This window comes from Homo sapiens, chromosome 15, assembly GCF_000001405.40.
Source record: "Homo sapiens chromosome 15, GRCh38.p14 Primary Assembly".
NCBI lineage: Eukaryota > Metazoa > Chordata > Mammalia > Primates > Hominidae > Homo > Homo sapiens.
Genome location: NC_000015.10, coordinates 67,877,327 through 67,892,346, shown reverse-complemented (window position 1 = coordinate 67,892,346; position 15,020 = coordinate 67,877,327). Strand labels below are relative to the sequence as shown.

The 15,020-nt window shown below is 45.3% G+C and overlaps 1 annotated feature.

Moving 5' to 3' along the window:
- Nucleotides 9,526–10,026: a transcriptional cis regulatory region, noted in NCBI's record as "candidate enhancer chr15.1880 targeted for multiplex CRISPR interference". NCBI's record gives its function as "positively regulates FEM1B gene expression in K562 cells {active_cell/tissue: K562}" and the evidence as "EXISTENCE:mutant phenotype evidence [ECO:0000015][PMID:30612741]".

The following is a 15,020-nucleotide window of genomic DNA, read 5'->3' as shown; positions in this document are numbered from 1 at the left end:
TCTTTGGCTGGGCTTGGTGGCTCACACCTTTAATCCCGGTCGGTACTTTGGGAGGCCAAGGCAGGAGGATTGCTTGAGCTCAGAAGTTCAAGACGCACACTGGGAAATATAGTGGGACCACGTCTCTACAAAATACAACCAAAATTTTAGCAGGACATGCCTGCTAAAGGCTCCTGGCATGATGGCATATGCCTGGAGTCTCAGCTACTTGGGAGGCTGAGATGGGAGGATCGCTTGAGCCCAGGAGGTCGAGACTGCAGTGAGCCAAGATCATGCCACTGGACTCCAGCCTGGGCAACAGAGTAAGACCCTGTCAAAAGAAAAGAGGTCTTTAGTGTTCCTGGGAAGACCAGCTCTCTTTTGTCTCACCATTGGAAACTGCATAAAGCATGAACCCTGAGAAGAAACTAATTACCCATTTTCCTCTCTGAGACCCTCCAGACTCACCCGCATGCCTCACATCCCTATTTATCTCAATAGCCGCCCCATATCCAAGACTCTGAGGTAATCCATCATCACCCAGACTCTTATCACATCCCTTAATCTAACCAGTTTCCCACCCTTCCCTACTTCCTCCATTCTTCCACTGTGACCCTGAAATTCATGGTCCACCCTCAGGAAAATGTCCTCAATCCTCAACCTCTCCTCCAAACATTCATTTCCCCTTCCTGCTTTCACTAAAATCTGGTTGTGCCTGAGGACGTTGCTTTTTTGTGGCCCTTTAAAGCAGGGGCTGGTTTTTCTCCTACACCCCATATACTACAGACCTGGAGGAGGGGTAGGTACCCTCCTGGCTGTACACTGCCTTTTCTAGACTAATTATCCTTCCTTTTCTCTACAAAATTCTGTTCCCTTGAAGTTCGTGTCCTTAGGCTATACCACTCACTGTTCTCATTGAAGCCTCCTGGATAATCTCCCTTACTCCCTGAAGATTTTAGATGCTGGCTCTTAGCCTCTCTCACCATCAGCAGTACTCACCATTTTGTGATTTCAACCAACTCCGGTATCAAAAACCCATCCAACATCCTAGATTTTCAGGTTCTGTATTACTTATCTATTGTGTAACAAATCACAAATTAACAAAATAGGCTGGGAACAGTGGCTCACGCCTGTAATCCCAGCACTTTGGGAGGCCAAGACAGGTTGATCACTTGAGGTTAGGAGTACGAGACCAGCCTGGCCAACATGATGAAACCCTGTCTGTACTAAACAAACAAACATACAAAACAAAACAAAAAAAATTAGCTGGGTGTGGTGGTGCATGCCTGTAATCCCAGCTGAAGCAGGGAGGCTTAGGCAGGGGAATCGCTTGAACCCAGGAAGTGGAGGTTGCAGTAAGCTAAGGTCGCACCACTGCACTCCAGCCTGGATGACAGCAAGACTCTGTTTCAACAATGACAACAACAAACAAAAACCAAATTAACAAAACAACTCAATAAGCACTTATGATCTCATACAGTTTCTATGGGCAGGCTTTGGGGAGCCAGAGACAGATGACTCTGGCTGAGAGTCTCCGATGCTGCTGTAGCCTATCTCCTGGGGCTGCCACAATCATCCGAAGGCTTGACTGGGGCTGGAGGATTAGCTTCCAACGTGGCTCCCTCACATGCCTGACAAATTCGTGCTGGTTGGTTAACTAGGTAGGTCTCTCCACAGGGCTGCTTGAGTGTCCTCATGGCGTGGTGGCTGGCTTCCCTGAGACAATCCAAGAGAACAAAGACAGAAGCTGCAATGTCTTTTAGAACACAGCCTCAGAAGACATACAGTTATTATTACACATGCCAGCCCCAATGAGCACAGGAGGGACTAGTCAAGGGGAGTGAATACACCTCATGAGAACCACTAGGGCCAGGTAGGAGGCTGGCTGCCCAGACTCCTGATCTCTTCCTCTCCAGCTGTCTTGTACTCATTATGGCCTCAGTCTCCTGCTGCCATGGTCAGGCCCTGGACTGTCAGCAATGACTGCTTCACCACCTTAAAATCATCATTTTTAGCACCCCACCTCACTCTTTGGCCAACCCTTCCAATATTTCCAGCTCTCTCACTCTAGTATCCTGACTCAATAACTCTTCAACCCCAGCCAGAGTTCCTAATGTTTTCACTACCTATCCCTTCACTTATCTTCTCACTTTCTTAATTATCCCTTTAGATTCTAACACAATAACCACTCCTGGCCCCTCTCTTCCTCATTATATTGTCCTGAAAAATGGCCAGAGCAAATTCCCTTCACCTGAGCAGCTAGATGTGACTGGAAGAAAACAACTCTGTCCACTAATCTCTCTTTACATTTATGACCACAAACCTCAAGTGGGCCATCAGCACTCATTCATGTCTCTACTCTCAAACACAAATTATTTCATATCTTCTTGTTTTTTAGAAAACATCCCATCCCATCCCCAATCCACTCTCAGCTTCACACCTGACAACCTCACCCATTCCTTTGAAATAAAAGCAGCATCCAGGAGAGCCACCTCATCTTCCCACCACCAAAGGAAACAGCCTACCTGCATCTGTACCAGTGACCTTTCTCCATCCTGCAAAGTCATATGGTTTGACTCTGTGTCCCCACCCAAATCTCATGTCAAATTGTAATCAGGGGAGGAAGCTGGTGGGAGGTGATTGCATCATGAGGGTGGTTTCCCCCATGCTGTTCTCATGATAGTGATTGAGTTCTCAAGAGATCTGGATCTGATGGTTTAAAAGTGTGTGGCAGTTCCCTGCTCGTTTTCTCTCTCCTGCCACCATGTAAGACATACCTTGCTTCTCTTTTGCCTTCCACCATGACTGTAAGTTTCCTGAGGCCTCCCCTGCCATGCAGAACTGTGAGTCAATTAAACCTCTTTCCTTTATAAATTACTTAGTTTTAGATAGTTTTTTATAGCAATGTGAAAACAGACCAATACACAAAGAATGGACCACTTCATCGTCAGTGTGCTGGATCCCATTTTCTCTCCCAGAAAATGGGATCTGTGACTCAAGGCCATCAGCACATCTTGTTAGATGCTGGAGTTGGGGAGTAATACAAAGCAAGGGAGGGCAGCCACATGGAGTGTGCACACCAAGGTCAGTCAGCCAAAGAAGAGAAGACTAGAGGAGGCAGGGAGAAGTAGATGGTAAGCCCCAGAGAGAAAAAAGAGGCCCCTGTATTCCCGGCTTTCTGCACTGCTTCCAGTTCTTCATGAAGCTGACTGGTGTGCAGTTCCAGGAGACACCCCTAAGTCCTCGAAACAAAGTATCTGGTACATAAGTCAGCTTCAGTGGATCTCTGTGGTTTTCAACTGAAGGAGCCCATTTATTCCCTATGTTTGGGGATAGAAAGCTGTCTAGCAGGGTGTCTCCATCAAGTTAATAGTACTCTCTGGGCAAGTGGATTTTAGAGGATTTTAAATGGTTTCTTCATTATACTTTTCTGAATTGTTTGAGTCACTTAAAATGAGCATATATCCGTTTCCTTCCTCTCCCTACCCCACCCTAATCTAATCCATCAACATCTTCTCTCAGCCTCACCTCTGAAATATAATTCAAATCCATCTCTCTTCCTGTCCACTGCCATCATTCTAGCCAAATCTCCATTCTCTCTCTTGCCCAGGTGACTGCAGTAGTCAGGTAATTGGTCCCCCCATTCCTCCCTTGCAAACATTCACTCCATTCCCACAGCAGCCCACAGGATCTTTCTACAATATCAATCCAGCCATGCTACTTCCTTGCTTAAAACCCTTCAGTGGCTTCCCTACACACTGGGAATAAAACCCAATCCTCAGCTCCCTATCTTGCCAAGTGAGTCGTAGGCAAGTTTGAATACAACACTGTGTGAAGAGCATGTATAGAGCCTGGTCCATCACAGCTGCACGTGGAGTGGATGTTCTTGTCCTTACCTCCAGGCTATTCAGCCACTTTCAGGAAGTTCTTTTAGGTTAGAAAGTTCTTAGAAACTGGCCCGTATCTACTCTGCAACTTCATCTTTAGCCACTTGCTCCTTGCTCCCTGTGTCCCTTCCATATTAGCTTCCGATGGTATTTAAAACATATAATACCAAGACACCCTTCTGCCTCCAGGCTTTTGCTCATTCTGGCACCTAGAATATCCCCCACAGTTCCTCCCATGGCTGGCTCCTCGTCTCACAGTGCTCAGTGTTTCAGAGCTGCCTCCTCCAAGGCTGTCCTGACCAAGGTGCCAATCCCCACCACACCCCGAGTATTATCGTCAAGGAAGCCTGTGTTTCCTTTGTAGCTTGTGTCACAACCTGCCATTTGACATTTGCTTGTTGAGTCTGTTTTCTTTCTCTCCCACCAAATTATATGTTTCCCATTGGTTTTATGTGCTTCTTTACTCCCCCAGTGCTTAGGGATGTGTATTGTCTATAAAAGCTCCATAGGTGTTCACTAAGTGAAGTTTAACAAAGAGCCTTCCCTGGTATGCCCAGCTGGAAGCCATCACTGGGTCCTCTGAATTCTCATAGTTCTTCATCTCCCCTTTATTAGAACACATCTTGCTTTGTCTTTTGCACTGGGATTACTTGTACAGAGAGGCAGGGTGGTTAGAACCAGACCCCTGCATTCAAATTCCAACCCTGCTACTCCCAGGGTCCAGAACAGTGCCTGGCACAGAGAAAACAACATAAAGAGTTAGTACTACTGTGCTTTGCATTATCCCCCAGCAGGAGCCAAACTAAAGTGTTTTGAGGGTAACATTACACATATGACCAGGCACAGTGGCTCACGCTTGTAACCCTAGCACTTTAGGAGGCCAAGGCAAGAGGATTGCTTGAGCTCGGGAGTTCAAGACCAATCTGGGCAACATAGTGAGACCTTGTCTCTATAAATTAATATTTTTTTAATTAAAAAAACTATACATAGGATTTAGTATTTGATAACTTCCCCAAGCCTAGCTCAGGACACAAAGTAGATGCTCAATAGACAATAAATAAGAGCGCTAAGTGCAGTGGCTCATGCCTGTAATTCCAGCACTTTGGGAGGCCAAGGTGGGAGGATCCCTTGAGCCCAGGAGTTCAAGATCAGCCTAGGCAATACAGTGAGGACTTGTCTCTAATAAAAAATAAAAAGGCCGGGCATTGTGGCTCACACCTGTAATCCTAGCACTTTGGGAGGCCGAGGCCAGCAGATTGCCTGAGCTCAGCAGTTCGAGACCAGCTTGGGCAACGTGGCAAAACCCCATCTCTACTAAAAATACAAAAAATTAGCTGGGTGTGGTGGCACACACCTGTAATCCCAGCTACTCCAGGAGGCTGAGGCATGAGAACCACTTGAGCCCAGGAGGTGGAGGTTGCAGTGAGCCAAGATTGCACCACTGCACTATAGCCTGGGCAACAGAGTGAAACTCTGTCTCCAAAAACAATAAATAAAATAAAATAAATAGGCTGAGGACAGTGACTCACACCTGCAATCCTAGCACTTTGGGAGGCTGAGGCGGGTGGATCACAAGGTCAGGAGATCCAGAACATCTTGGCTAACATCTTGGCTAAACCCCACCTCTACGAAAAATACAAAAATTAGCCAGGCGTGATGGCACGCCCCTGTAGTCCCAGCTACTCAGGAGGCTGAGGCAGGAGAATCATTTGAACCTAGGAGGCAGAGGTTGCAGTGAGCCAAGATCGCGCCACTGCACTCCAGCTTGAGCGACAAGAGCAAAACTCCGTCTCAAATAAATAAATAAATAAATAAAAATAAAAATTTAGCTGGGCACAGGGGCTCATGCCTATAATCCCAGCACTTTGGGAGGCTGAGGTGGGTGGATCATTTTGTTAAGCTCAGGAGTTAAAGACCAGCCTGGGGAACACGGCGAAACCCCCAGGCGTGGTGGTGTGCACCTGTATGCAGGATGCTGAGGCAGGACGATTGCTTGAGGTTGAGGTTGCAGGGAACCATGATTGCCCCACTGCACTCCAGCCTGGGCAAAAGAGTGAGATCCTGTCTCTAAAAAAATAAATAAATAATAAAAAGAGCTAAATTTTATTATGAGTTTGTATTGCTCTAGGTTCTAAACTGTTCTAAACATCTTACATGTATCAGCTCATGTAATCCTCACAATAAGTGCCATTATTATTCCCACTTCACAAAGAGGAAACTGACTCATAAGGAATTAAATACTTTATCCAGGGACACCAAGTAATTAAGTGGAGTGGCTGGGATTTGAACACAGGACACAAGCAACTAAGCCTTAACAACTACAAGATACTATCAAGTGTAGACCAAGTTGTTACAGGTTTATGAGGTCAGAATCAAAGAAGACAGCAATCTATGTTGTACAACTGGGGCTGGTTAAATAAACTCTGATAGTATCTTATGTAGCCATTAAAATGATGATATAGATCTACATTTATATTGAATGACATTCATGACTTGTTTGTTTGTTTCTTTACTCCATACCTCACCTGGACTGAAATAATTTTTAAAAGCAAGCCAGAAAGCAGTAAAATAAACCTGCACACAAATGTTTATAGCATCTTTTGCATAATTGCCAAAAACTGGAGGCAATTGAAAAGGTGAATGGATAAACAAATTGTGGTACGTCAGTACTATGGAATATTATTCAGCTATAAATAAGAAATGAGCCATCAAGCCACAAAAAGACATGAAGGAATCTTAAGAGGCATATTGTTTTGTGAAGGAAGCCAGCCTGAAAAGGCAACAGACTATACGATTCCGACTATATGACATTCTGGAAAAGGCCAAACCATAGAAACAGTAAAAAGATCAGTGACTGCATGGGATTAGAGGGTGAGAGGTGAACAAGGGGATCACAGGGGATTTTTTGGGCCAATTGTTCTGTATGATACTGTAATGGTGGATATGCGACATTATGCATTTGTCAAAACGCAAAGAACTTCACGCCACAAAGAGTGAGCCTTAATATAAGCCATGAAATGTAGTGAATACTAATATATCAATACTGGTTTATCAATTGTGACAAATGCAAGATATTAATAACAGGGGAAACTGAGGGAGCGGTGGGAGGTTATATGGGAACGCTGCACTAGCTTCCCAAATTTCTGTTAACTGAAAACTGCTCTAACAACTAAAGTTCGTTAATTTAGAAACAAACAGTATCATCGCAGGATATTTCGTGTTAATGTACATCTGTGTTTTTTGTGTACACAAAAAGTCAGGAAGGACATAACCAGAATTAATAGCAGTTGTCTCAGCCTGGTGGGATTAATAGAGATCTTTCTCCTAGTTCTACTTGTTATTAACAACAGCATGCCTTTATCCTGTAAAGGAGTAAAGTGGGGCAGTGGGGGCTGCCCAGGACCGGGGACCAGCGGGCCCAGGAGCGGTTGCTGCCAAGCGACTCCGTGCCCCTAAGGGCACCGCAGTCCTCAGCGTCTGCTCCGCCCACCCCGTCCCTCAGCCTTTGCAACTGCGGGTCCCGAGGTTAGCAAAGAGACCAGAGAATTCCTCCGGTGCGATTGCGTCTGCACACGCGGCGGGCGACGGGGAGCCGGCAGGGCGGGCGGGGTCGGAAGCGGGGCACAGTGGGGCTCGGCCTGGGGCCGTGGACGCTCCGTGCAGCTGTGGGGAGGCGGGGGCGGCGGCCGCGCCCGCGATGCCTTCAGTTTGCTGGAATGTTCCTGCGGCAGAAGTGTACTTTGTTCCAGGGATGGGGGAGGGCGGAGCGGGGGCTGGGCCCCAGCGCGTCCTGGGACTTGGAAGGCTGCCAGCTTTCCGTTCCCAGGGTGCCTTCTGGCGGGGGCGGGCGTTGTCTGGTTTTCAGCATGGGCCGCTGTGGGGTTCTGGAGGGAACCCCTGGATTCCAGCGCCATCCCTGCCACCGACTAGCTGCAGGTCCCTGCGTGGGGTATCTTAACCTCTCTGGGCCTATATTTCCTCATCTGCAAAATGAGGCTAATCACATTAATAATAATGCTGTGATGGTTATAGCCGGGCACTGCTGTAAAGCACTGTGAGGTGCTCTCTGCTCGCAGCAACCTTTGGAGGTAGGTGCTGTTAATATAACATAATTACACTCTTAGTAGACTAATACTCACTTGCTGCCCAGGCCCTTTGGAAAGCGTAGATGGTCTGGCTGTAGAAAACCTGGTCCAGCCTCCTTCCAAGTAGTAAAACGTGCTATTATTATTTTCACTTTAAAGATAGGGACGCAGGAGCTCAGGAAGGTTAAACAACTTGCCCAAGGGCACACAGCTCCTAAGAGGCCATCCAGGATGCAAACCCAGCACTTTGGGAAGCCAAAGTGGGAGGATCCCTTGAGCTCAGGAGTTCGACACTAACCTGGGCAACATAGTGACACTCCATGATATTTAAAAAATATATTTTAAAAAAGGAAAACAAAAAGGCGGGGGACGCAAACCCAGTTAGTCGGTGAAGAGCCGCCACTCAACCTCTACAGAAACTGCCTCACTGCTAGTGTCTGGAAGCCCCATTATAAGCTTATTTGGACATTGCAATCCATGCAGCAATTCTGGGAGAAGTTTCACAAATAATAATTATTAATACTAAGTAATGATAATTATCACCAATTGAGGGCCATAATTTCAACACCATATATGTGCAACAATTATTTTTCCCATTTTAGAGATGAAAGAATCCAGGCGCCAGGTCACTCCAGTTCAATGGGGTGGAATCCATTCATCCTGAAGCGGAAAGGCAGCAACAACTTAGCTCTCACCTCCTTTGATAGGCAGGCCGACTCCTCCAGAGTCTGATTATGCCAGCCAGCCAGGAAGAGCAGCCCTTCCTTCCCCAGACATTGTCAAAATCAACTTTGCCTTGCCTGGTAATCTGAGGAGCTTCTAAGCTGCGAGGGTGTAAGGAGTCTCAGATGATATCTAACACCAAGCTGGGGAGTTGCTCTCCTCTCCCGGGTCTGCTGCTTCCAGGAGCCCGGTTGCCTGGTGCCTGTGGAAACGTTTCCTCCACTGAGTCTACCCAGAGGATGGAGGCAGAGTGCAAGACAGTTGCCCTAAATTGTGGACAAAAGAGAGCTCTGCAGCCGAAGCTCCGTGTCCCATTATCACTAGGCTCCTGTCCCCTCAATCGTATGACAGAAAAGTCATTGGATTCTCAGCCTCCTCCTCGGGTTAAAAGGCTGCCTTCTTTTAATGCAAATGTTGCCACTGCTTCTGGGCAACCCATCCTCCATATATTCTCAACCTCATGGGAAAGAAAAAAACTCTTATCTTCTGTAGTAAGCTTAAATGTTTCACGAATGAAGACAGTTTGGCAAATAGCCACATATTGCTATTGCTGTCATGTGGGCATGCAGTAGGTGCCGAATAAGTGCTTTGCATATTTGCTCCCTCTGTTCCGAATGTTCTTCCTCTGAATACTGACATGGTTCCCTCCCTCATCTCCTTCAGTTTTTACTCACGTCGCCTTTTCTGTGGGGCCTTCCCTGACCATAATATTTAAATTACACTCTCCCAATAGTCCTGATTCCTTTTCCCTGTTTTATTTTTTCCATAGCACGTATCACTGTCTTACACACTGTTATTTGTATTTATTTCATTTGTTGTCTGTCTTGCCCCCATTAGAATGTAAATTCCAGAAGGGCAGGATTTCTTTCTGTTTTCTTCACCACTGTATCCCCCAATGCCTAGAACTGGAAGGAAGGAAGGGAAGGGGAGAGAATAGCTTCCCTGGCCATTCCAACCCATTGTGGATACCACCCCCTTGGAGAAATGTGCATTTCTTTCCTGCACTATCTACTTGACACTTGGCATATCCTTACCCGCCACCTCAACTCCCTACTCTCCCCCGCCCCTTTGTAACATCTCTTGACAGTAGCTTCCTGTTCTGCTATATGACTTTGCAGATTTGTGTCTCATCTACTTAAGTAGACAGAAAATTTCCTGCCTTACAAGCAGGGGCAGAAGAGATCTGATCTTTGTATCTCCCTAGTACCAAAAACAGGGCTGAATTTCTGTAAGTTCCAGGGCTCCTTAGATTTTAAACAGAAAAAGTCCTCCTTCCTCCATCCCTTCCCCCTCCTTGCTCAGTTCGAATCCTAGTTCATCTCCATTAATATTAGACTTACTACTTAAGTTTGATTTGAAGTTTGATATTTGTTTTAAACCAAATAAATTCACAATGTTTTTGATAAACAACATTCAATATATATCAATGAGGATCAATGTGTGAGCCATTTAATTTCTTAACACAACCACTATATTTTCTCATTAAATGAAACAAAACTGCATACCTTAACTATGTTCTTGCCATAATCTGCACCCTTGATTTTTTCTTTATTCCTAAGAAGAGTTTTGGAGAAATTTCAGTGGCCAAAGTAAGAAAGAGAGGGAGACAAGGAATCTCATTCCCTGGAGGCGAACGAAGCCTGCTGGCTTCCTTTGGTGGTCACCCCACCTTACTCTACCCCTCAAGAATAAGGGAGGTACACAGCTAAAGATAGCTCTTACATAGCATCACACATGATTATAACAAACACCGAATTTGCCCTCTGTCTCCCTCTGCATTTCCCCAGGGCTGGCTCTAAGGTGGGCTGGTGGCACATCCAACTCAGGAGAAGTGGGAGACTGTCCTTGAAAAAAACTAATGACTGTATCATTTTTATCACCTAGGAAAATCTAAAAATGTTCACAAATCAGCATTTAGTTATGTGATTTGAACATGAAATTTCATCATTATATTGCGTGTGTGTGGTGATCTTGGTTCCTGGTATCTGTTAAAATTGAGGTGAAAGGTGCCATTCTGATTGGCTTGAATTTGAGAAAAATACAATTGAACGGGCCCTATATAATTCTCAACAAAAATAACTGCAGAGGCCTGGTATGGTGGCTCATGCCTGTAATCCCAGCACTTTGGGAGGCTGAGGCAGAAGGATTACTTGAGGCCAGGAGTTCAAGATCAGCCTGAGCAACATGGTGAGTCCTGATCTCTACAAAACATTTTAAAAATTAGGCCCGTGCAGTGGCATGCACCTGTGGTCCCAGCTAGTCAGGGGGCTGAGATGGGAGGATCACTTGAACCCAGAAGGTCAAGGCTGCAGTGAGCCATGATCACACCACTGCACTCCAGCCTAGGTGACAGAGTGAGACCTTGTCTCATAAAACAACAACAACAAAAACCCTGCAGGATCCTCATGAGATATGTGGGAGAGATGGATGAATAAATGCAAGCATGAACAGATAGATGAGAGAGGAACTGATCTATGGGTAGGTGGGTAAATTAAGAAATGCACGGATGGCTAAAGAGATGCACAAATGGATAGATAGACATGGTAGGTGATTGGCTATGCCGTGCTCCAGAGGCCCTGGGGCTACCACAGTGCTGACTTCAAAAGTGTTTGCTTACCCTTTGGTCTTCTACCCAAGATTTTGAGCTCCTGGAATGTAGAAATTTAATTGTATTGGTTTTTGTGTCCTGAGCCCCTAGTGCAGTGTCTGGCCCATTAACACAGGTATTAGTCAGGATGTAGTTTTGGCTGCTGTTACATACAACCTCTCATCTGCATGATGGAGCAATGCCAAGTGCACAATGCAGCCAGCAGGAAGGGAAAAAAGAGGAAGGAGAAGGCACACATCCTCTTCAAAGGCACATTTTACTTCTGTTCTCATCCCATAGGCGAGAACTTAGACACATGGCCACACCTAGTCAGAAGCATGCTTGGAAATTTAGTCTTATTCTGGGTGCCTGTGTCCAGTTAATAATCTGTGTTCTAAAAACAGCAGAAACAGGCTGGGCATGATAGCTCCTGCCTGTAATCTCAATACTTTGGGAGGCCAAGGTGGGAGGATCACTCGAGCTCCAGAGTTTGAAACCAGCCTGGGCAACATAATGAGACCCTGTCTTGATTTAAAAAAAAAAAAAAATAGCCCAGAATGGTGATGCATGCCTGTAGTCCCAGCTACTCATGAGGCTGAGGCAGGAGGATCACTTGAGCCTGGGAGGTTAAGGTTGTAGTGAGCCATGATTGTGTGACTGCACTCTAGCCTGGACAACAGAGCGAGACCCTGTCTTAAAACAAAAAAAAAAACCCAGCAGAAACAGATATAAGGCAGTTACTCTCCACTACATAAATTAGCAACAGATTCTTATGTTAAATGAATGAAGAAATAAATGGGGCCAGACACTATGGCTCACACCTATAATCCCAACACTTTGGGAGGCCAAGGCAGGTGGATCACTTGAGCCCAGGAGTTTGAGACCAGCCTGGGCAACATGACACAACCCTGTCTGCACAAAAAATACAAAAATTAGCTGGGCTTAGTGGCATGTGCCTGTCATCTCAGCTACTTGGGGGGATGAGGTGGGAGGATTGCTTCAGCCCAGGAGGTCGAGGCTGCAGTGAGCCATGATCGTGTCACTGCACTCCAGCCTGGGTGATAGAGTGAGACCACATCTCAAATAAATAAATAAATGGCATTGAAATAAATAAATAAATGACAAATTGAAATAAATAAATAAATGACATTGATTGTTATCTGAGAAGGACACGTATGCTGAGTCACATACAGTAGGTAAGTGAAAAAAGCAAGGTAGGATTAATATATAGTATGCAATTATTTGCTGTCATTCTTTACTAAGAGAAATTTTGTTGAGAGTGGAATGGGCCTAGATAAAATAGTTCACTCCCCAGGCTCCCTCCAAGTGGCTATGTGACACCACTGTGGCCACAGAGATATAAATGGGAGACAGCTGGAGATCTGAGGACATTTCTGCTTTAATACAGGAACCACCTTTCCCTCTTCCCTGCTACTTCTTCATTTCTGAGACGCAGATGTGAGAGTGAAGGTGGAGCAGTCAACTCGTGACCGTGACCGTAAGACTTAATAAGCAAGATAACGTAACTACTCAGTTACATTAAGCGTAACTGAGTAGAAACATGGATAGAAGCCGGGACATTGATGATACAGTGGAGACGCTACACCCACCCCAGACCTCTCATTAGAGAAATCCAAACTCCTGCTTGGTTAAGCCAGGATAGTTGCGTTTCTGTTTTATGAGAGATACTTATATTGTGAAAATTCATTGAATACATAAAATATCTCTGGAAGTACACACAAGAAACTGTAGTCTTAGCTGCCTCCTGGGAGGACAAATTATGAGTGATTTCAGGACAACACTGGACAAGAAACTTGCTTTTCATTTGTAGTCTTTTATATTTTTGAATGCTGAATTTACATTTATATATTCAACAAAAAAAGTGTGGAAATGACATATTACATCACCAAACCAGGTCCATTTGCCCTCATGCAATGGAAAGGCAAACACTGAAGGACTGAGTTTTTGCAGCAAGAAAGGTTTATTGAGTCAACTGGCAAGGAGATGGGAAAATGCTCATCTGTCTCCCCCAAGCTGGGGGCCTGGGCTGGGTTTTATAAGTATAGGGTAATAAGGTGTTATCTGATTGGATCTTGCAATGAAGTGATGCTGGGAGGCATGATCTGACTGGATCCTGCCATGAGGTGACAGCAGGGATTGATCTGATTGGATCCTGGATCCTGCCATGTGGTGTCCACTTCTTAATTCACTCCCCGCTCCTTGGGTTTGAGCACTTAGGTTCCTCTGGTGATTGCACGCTTGGTTCATGCACACTGGGTATGCTCAGGTTACTTAACCTTTGTTACAATTGAACCAGATTGGTCTGGTGAAGTTATATTTCAATAGGGAAAATCAAAAGAGACTGTTTCCTTCATGAATTTGATGGTTTGAGAAATACATTTTCCAACAGTCCTGCTGTTGGATGACATAACAACACCTTGTTATGTCATCATCAAAGGCAAAGTTGTCTCAAGAAATAAATCATAAATTGTGCTTCAGTAACTGAATTTTGAACAGTATTTGTTAAAAATAAATTAACCATCTATGCTATACCTCAATAATGGAGGGGGGATGTGTTTTAAGGAAATTTTCACTGTGTCTGTAATGGGTTTTTCTGTTTTTTTTTTTTGAGTTGGGGTCTCACACTGTCACTCAGGCTGGAGTGCAGTGGTATGATCTCAGCTTACTGCAGCCTTGACTTCTCCAGCTCAGGGGATCCTCCTGCCTCAGCCTCCCAAGTAGCTGGGACCACAGACATGCTCCACTACGGCCGGCTAATTTGCACTTTGGGAGTGTAGATGCACTTTGGGAGGCTGAGGCGGGCAGATCACGAAGTCAAAAGTTCAAAACCAGCCTGACCAACATAGTGAAACCATGTCTCTACTAAAAATGCAAAAAAATTAGCCAGGCATAGTGGTGCACGCCAGCTACTCAGGAGGCTGAGGCAGGAGAATCACTTGAACCCAGGGGGCAGAGGTTGCAGTGAGCTGAGATTGCACCACTGCACTCCAGCCTGGGTGACAGAGCAAGACTCCGTCTCAAAAAAAAAAAAAAAATCAGATCTCACATTAACTTACTCACTATCATGAGAACAGCGCCAAAGAAGAAATCCACCCCCATGATCCAATCACCTCCTACCATGCCCCATCTCCAACTTTGGGGATTACAATTGGACTTGAGATTTGGGCAGGGACACAGACCTAAACCATATCACTAACTGTGAAAAATTAGAGTGCATTCAAATATAATAAGGCACTCTCACTCCCTTGAATTACCATCTGCTTTCTGGAGAAGCAGAGATATGGCTGGTACAATGAGGTACCCAGACTTTCACCTGACCCACAACTTATCTCTGCTTCAGCTAGTGGCTAGTACCCCTGACAGTTGCACCACAAATAAATTTAAAAACTTGCTGCCTGGGAGTCATGATTTTTATTTTTTTAAATTTATGTATTTATTTTTTGAGACAATATTTTGCTCTGTCACCCAGGCTGGAGTGCAGTGGCACAATCACAGCTCTCTGCAGCCTCGATCTCCTGGGTTCAAGCCATCCTCCCACTTCAGCCTCCTGATTAGCTGGGACTAAAAAATACATATGCCACCATGCCCAGCAAATTTTTTGATTTTTTTTTTTTTTTTTTTTTTTTTTGTAGAGACCAGGTCTCACTATGTTGCCCAGGCTAGTCTCAAACTCCTGAACTCAAGCAATCCTGATCCTCTCAGCTTGGTCTCCCAAAGTGCTGGGATTACAGGTGTGAG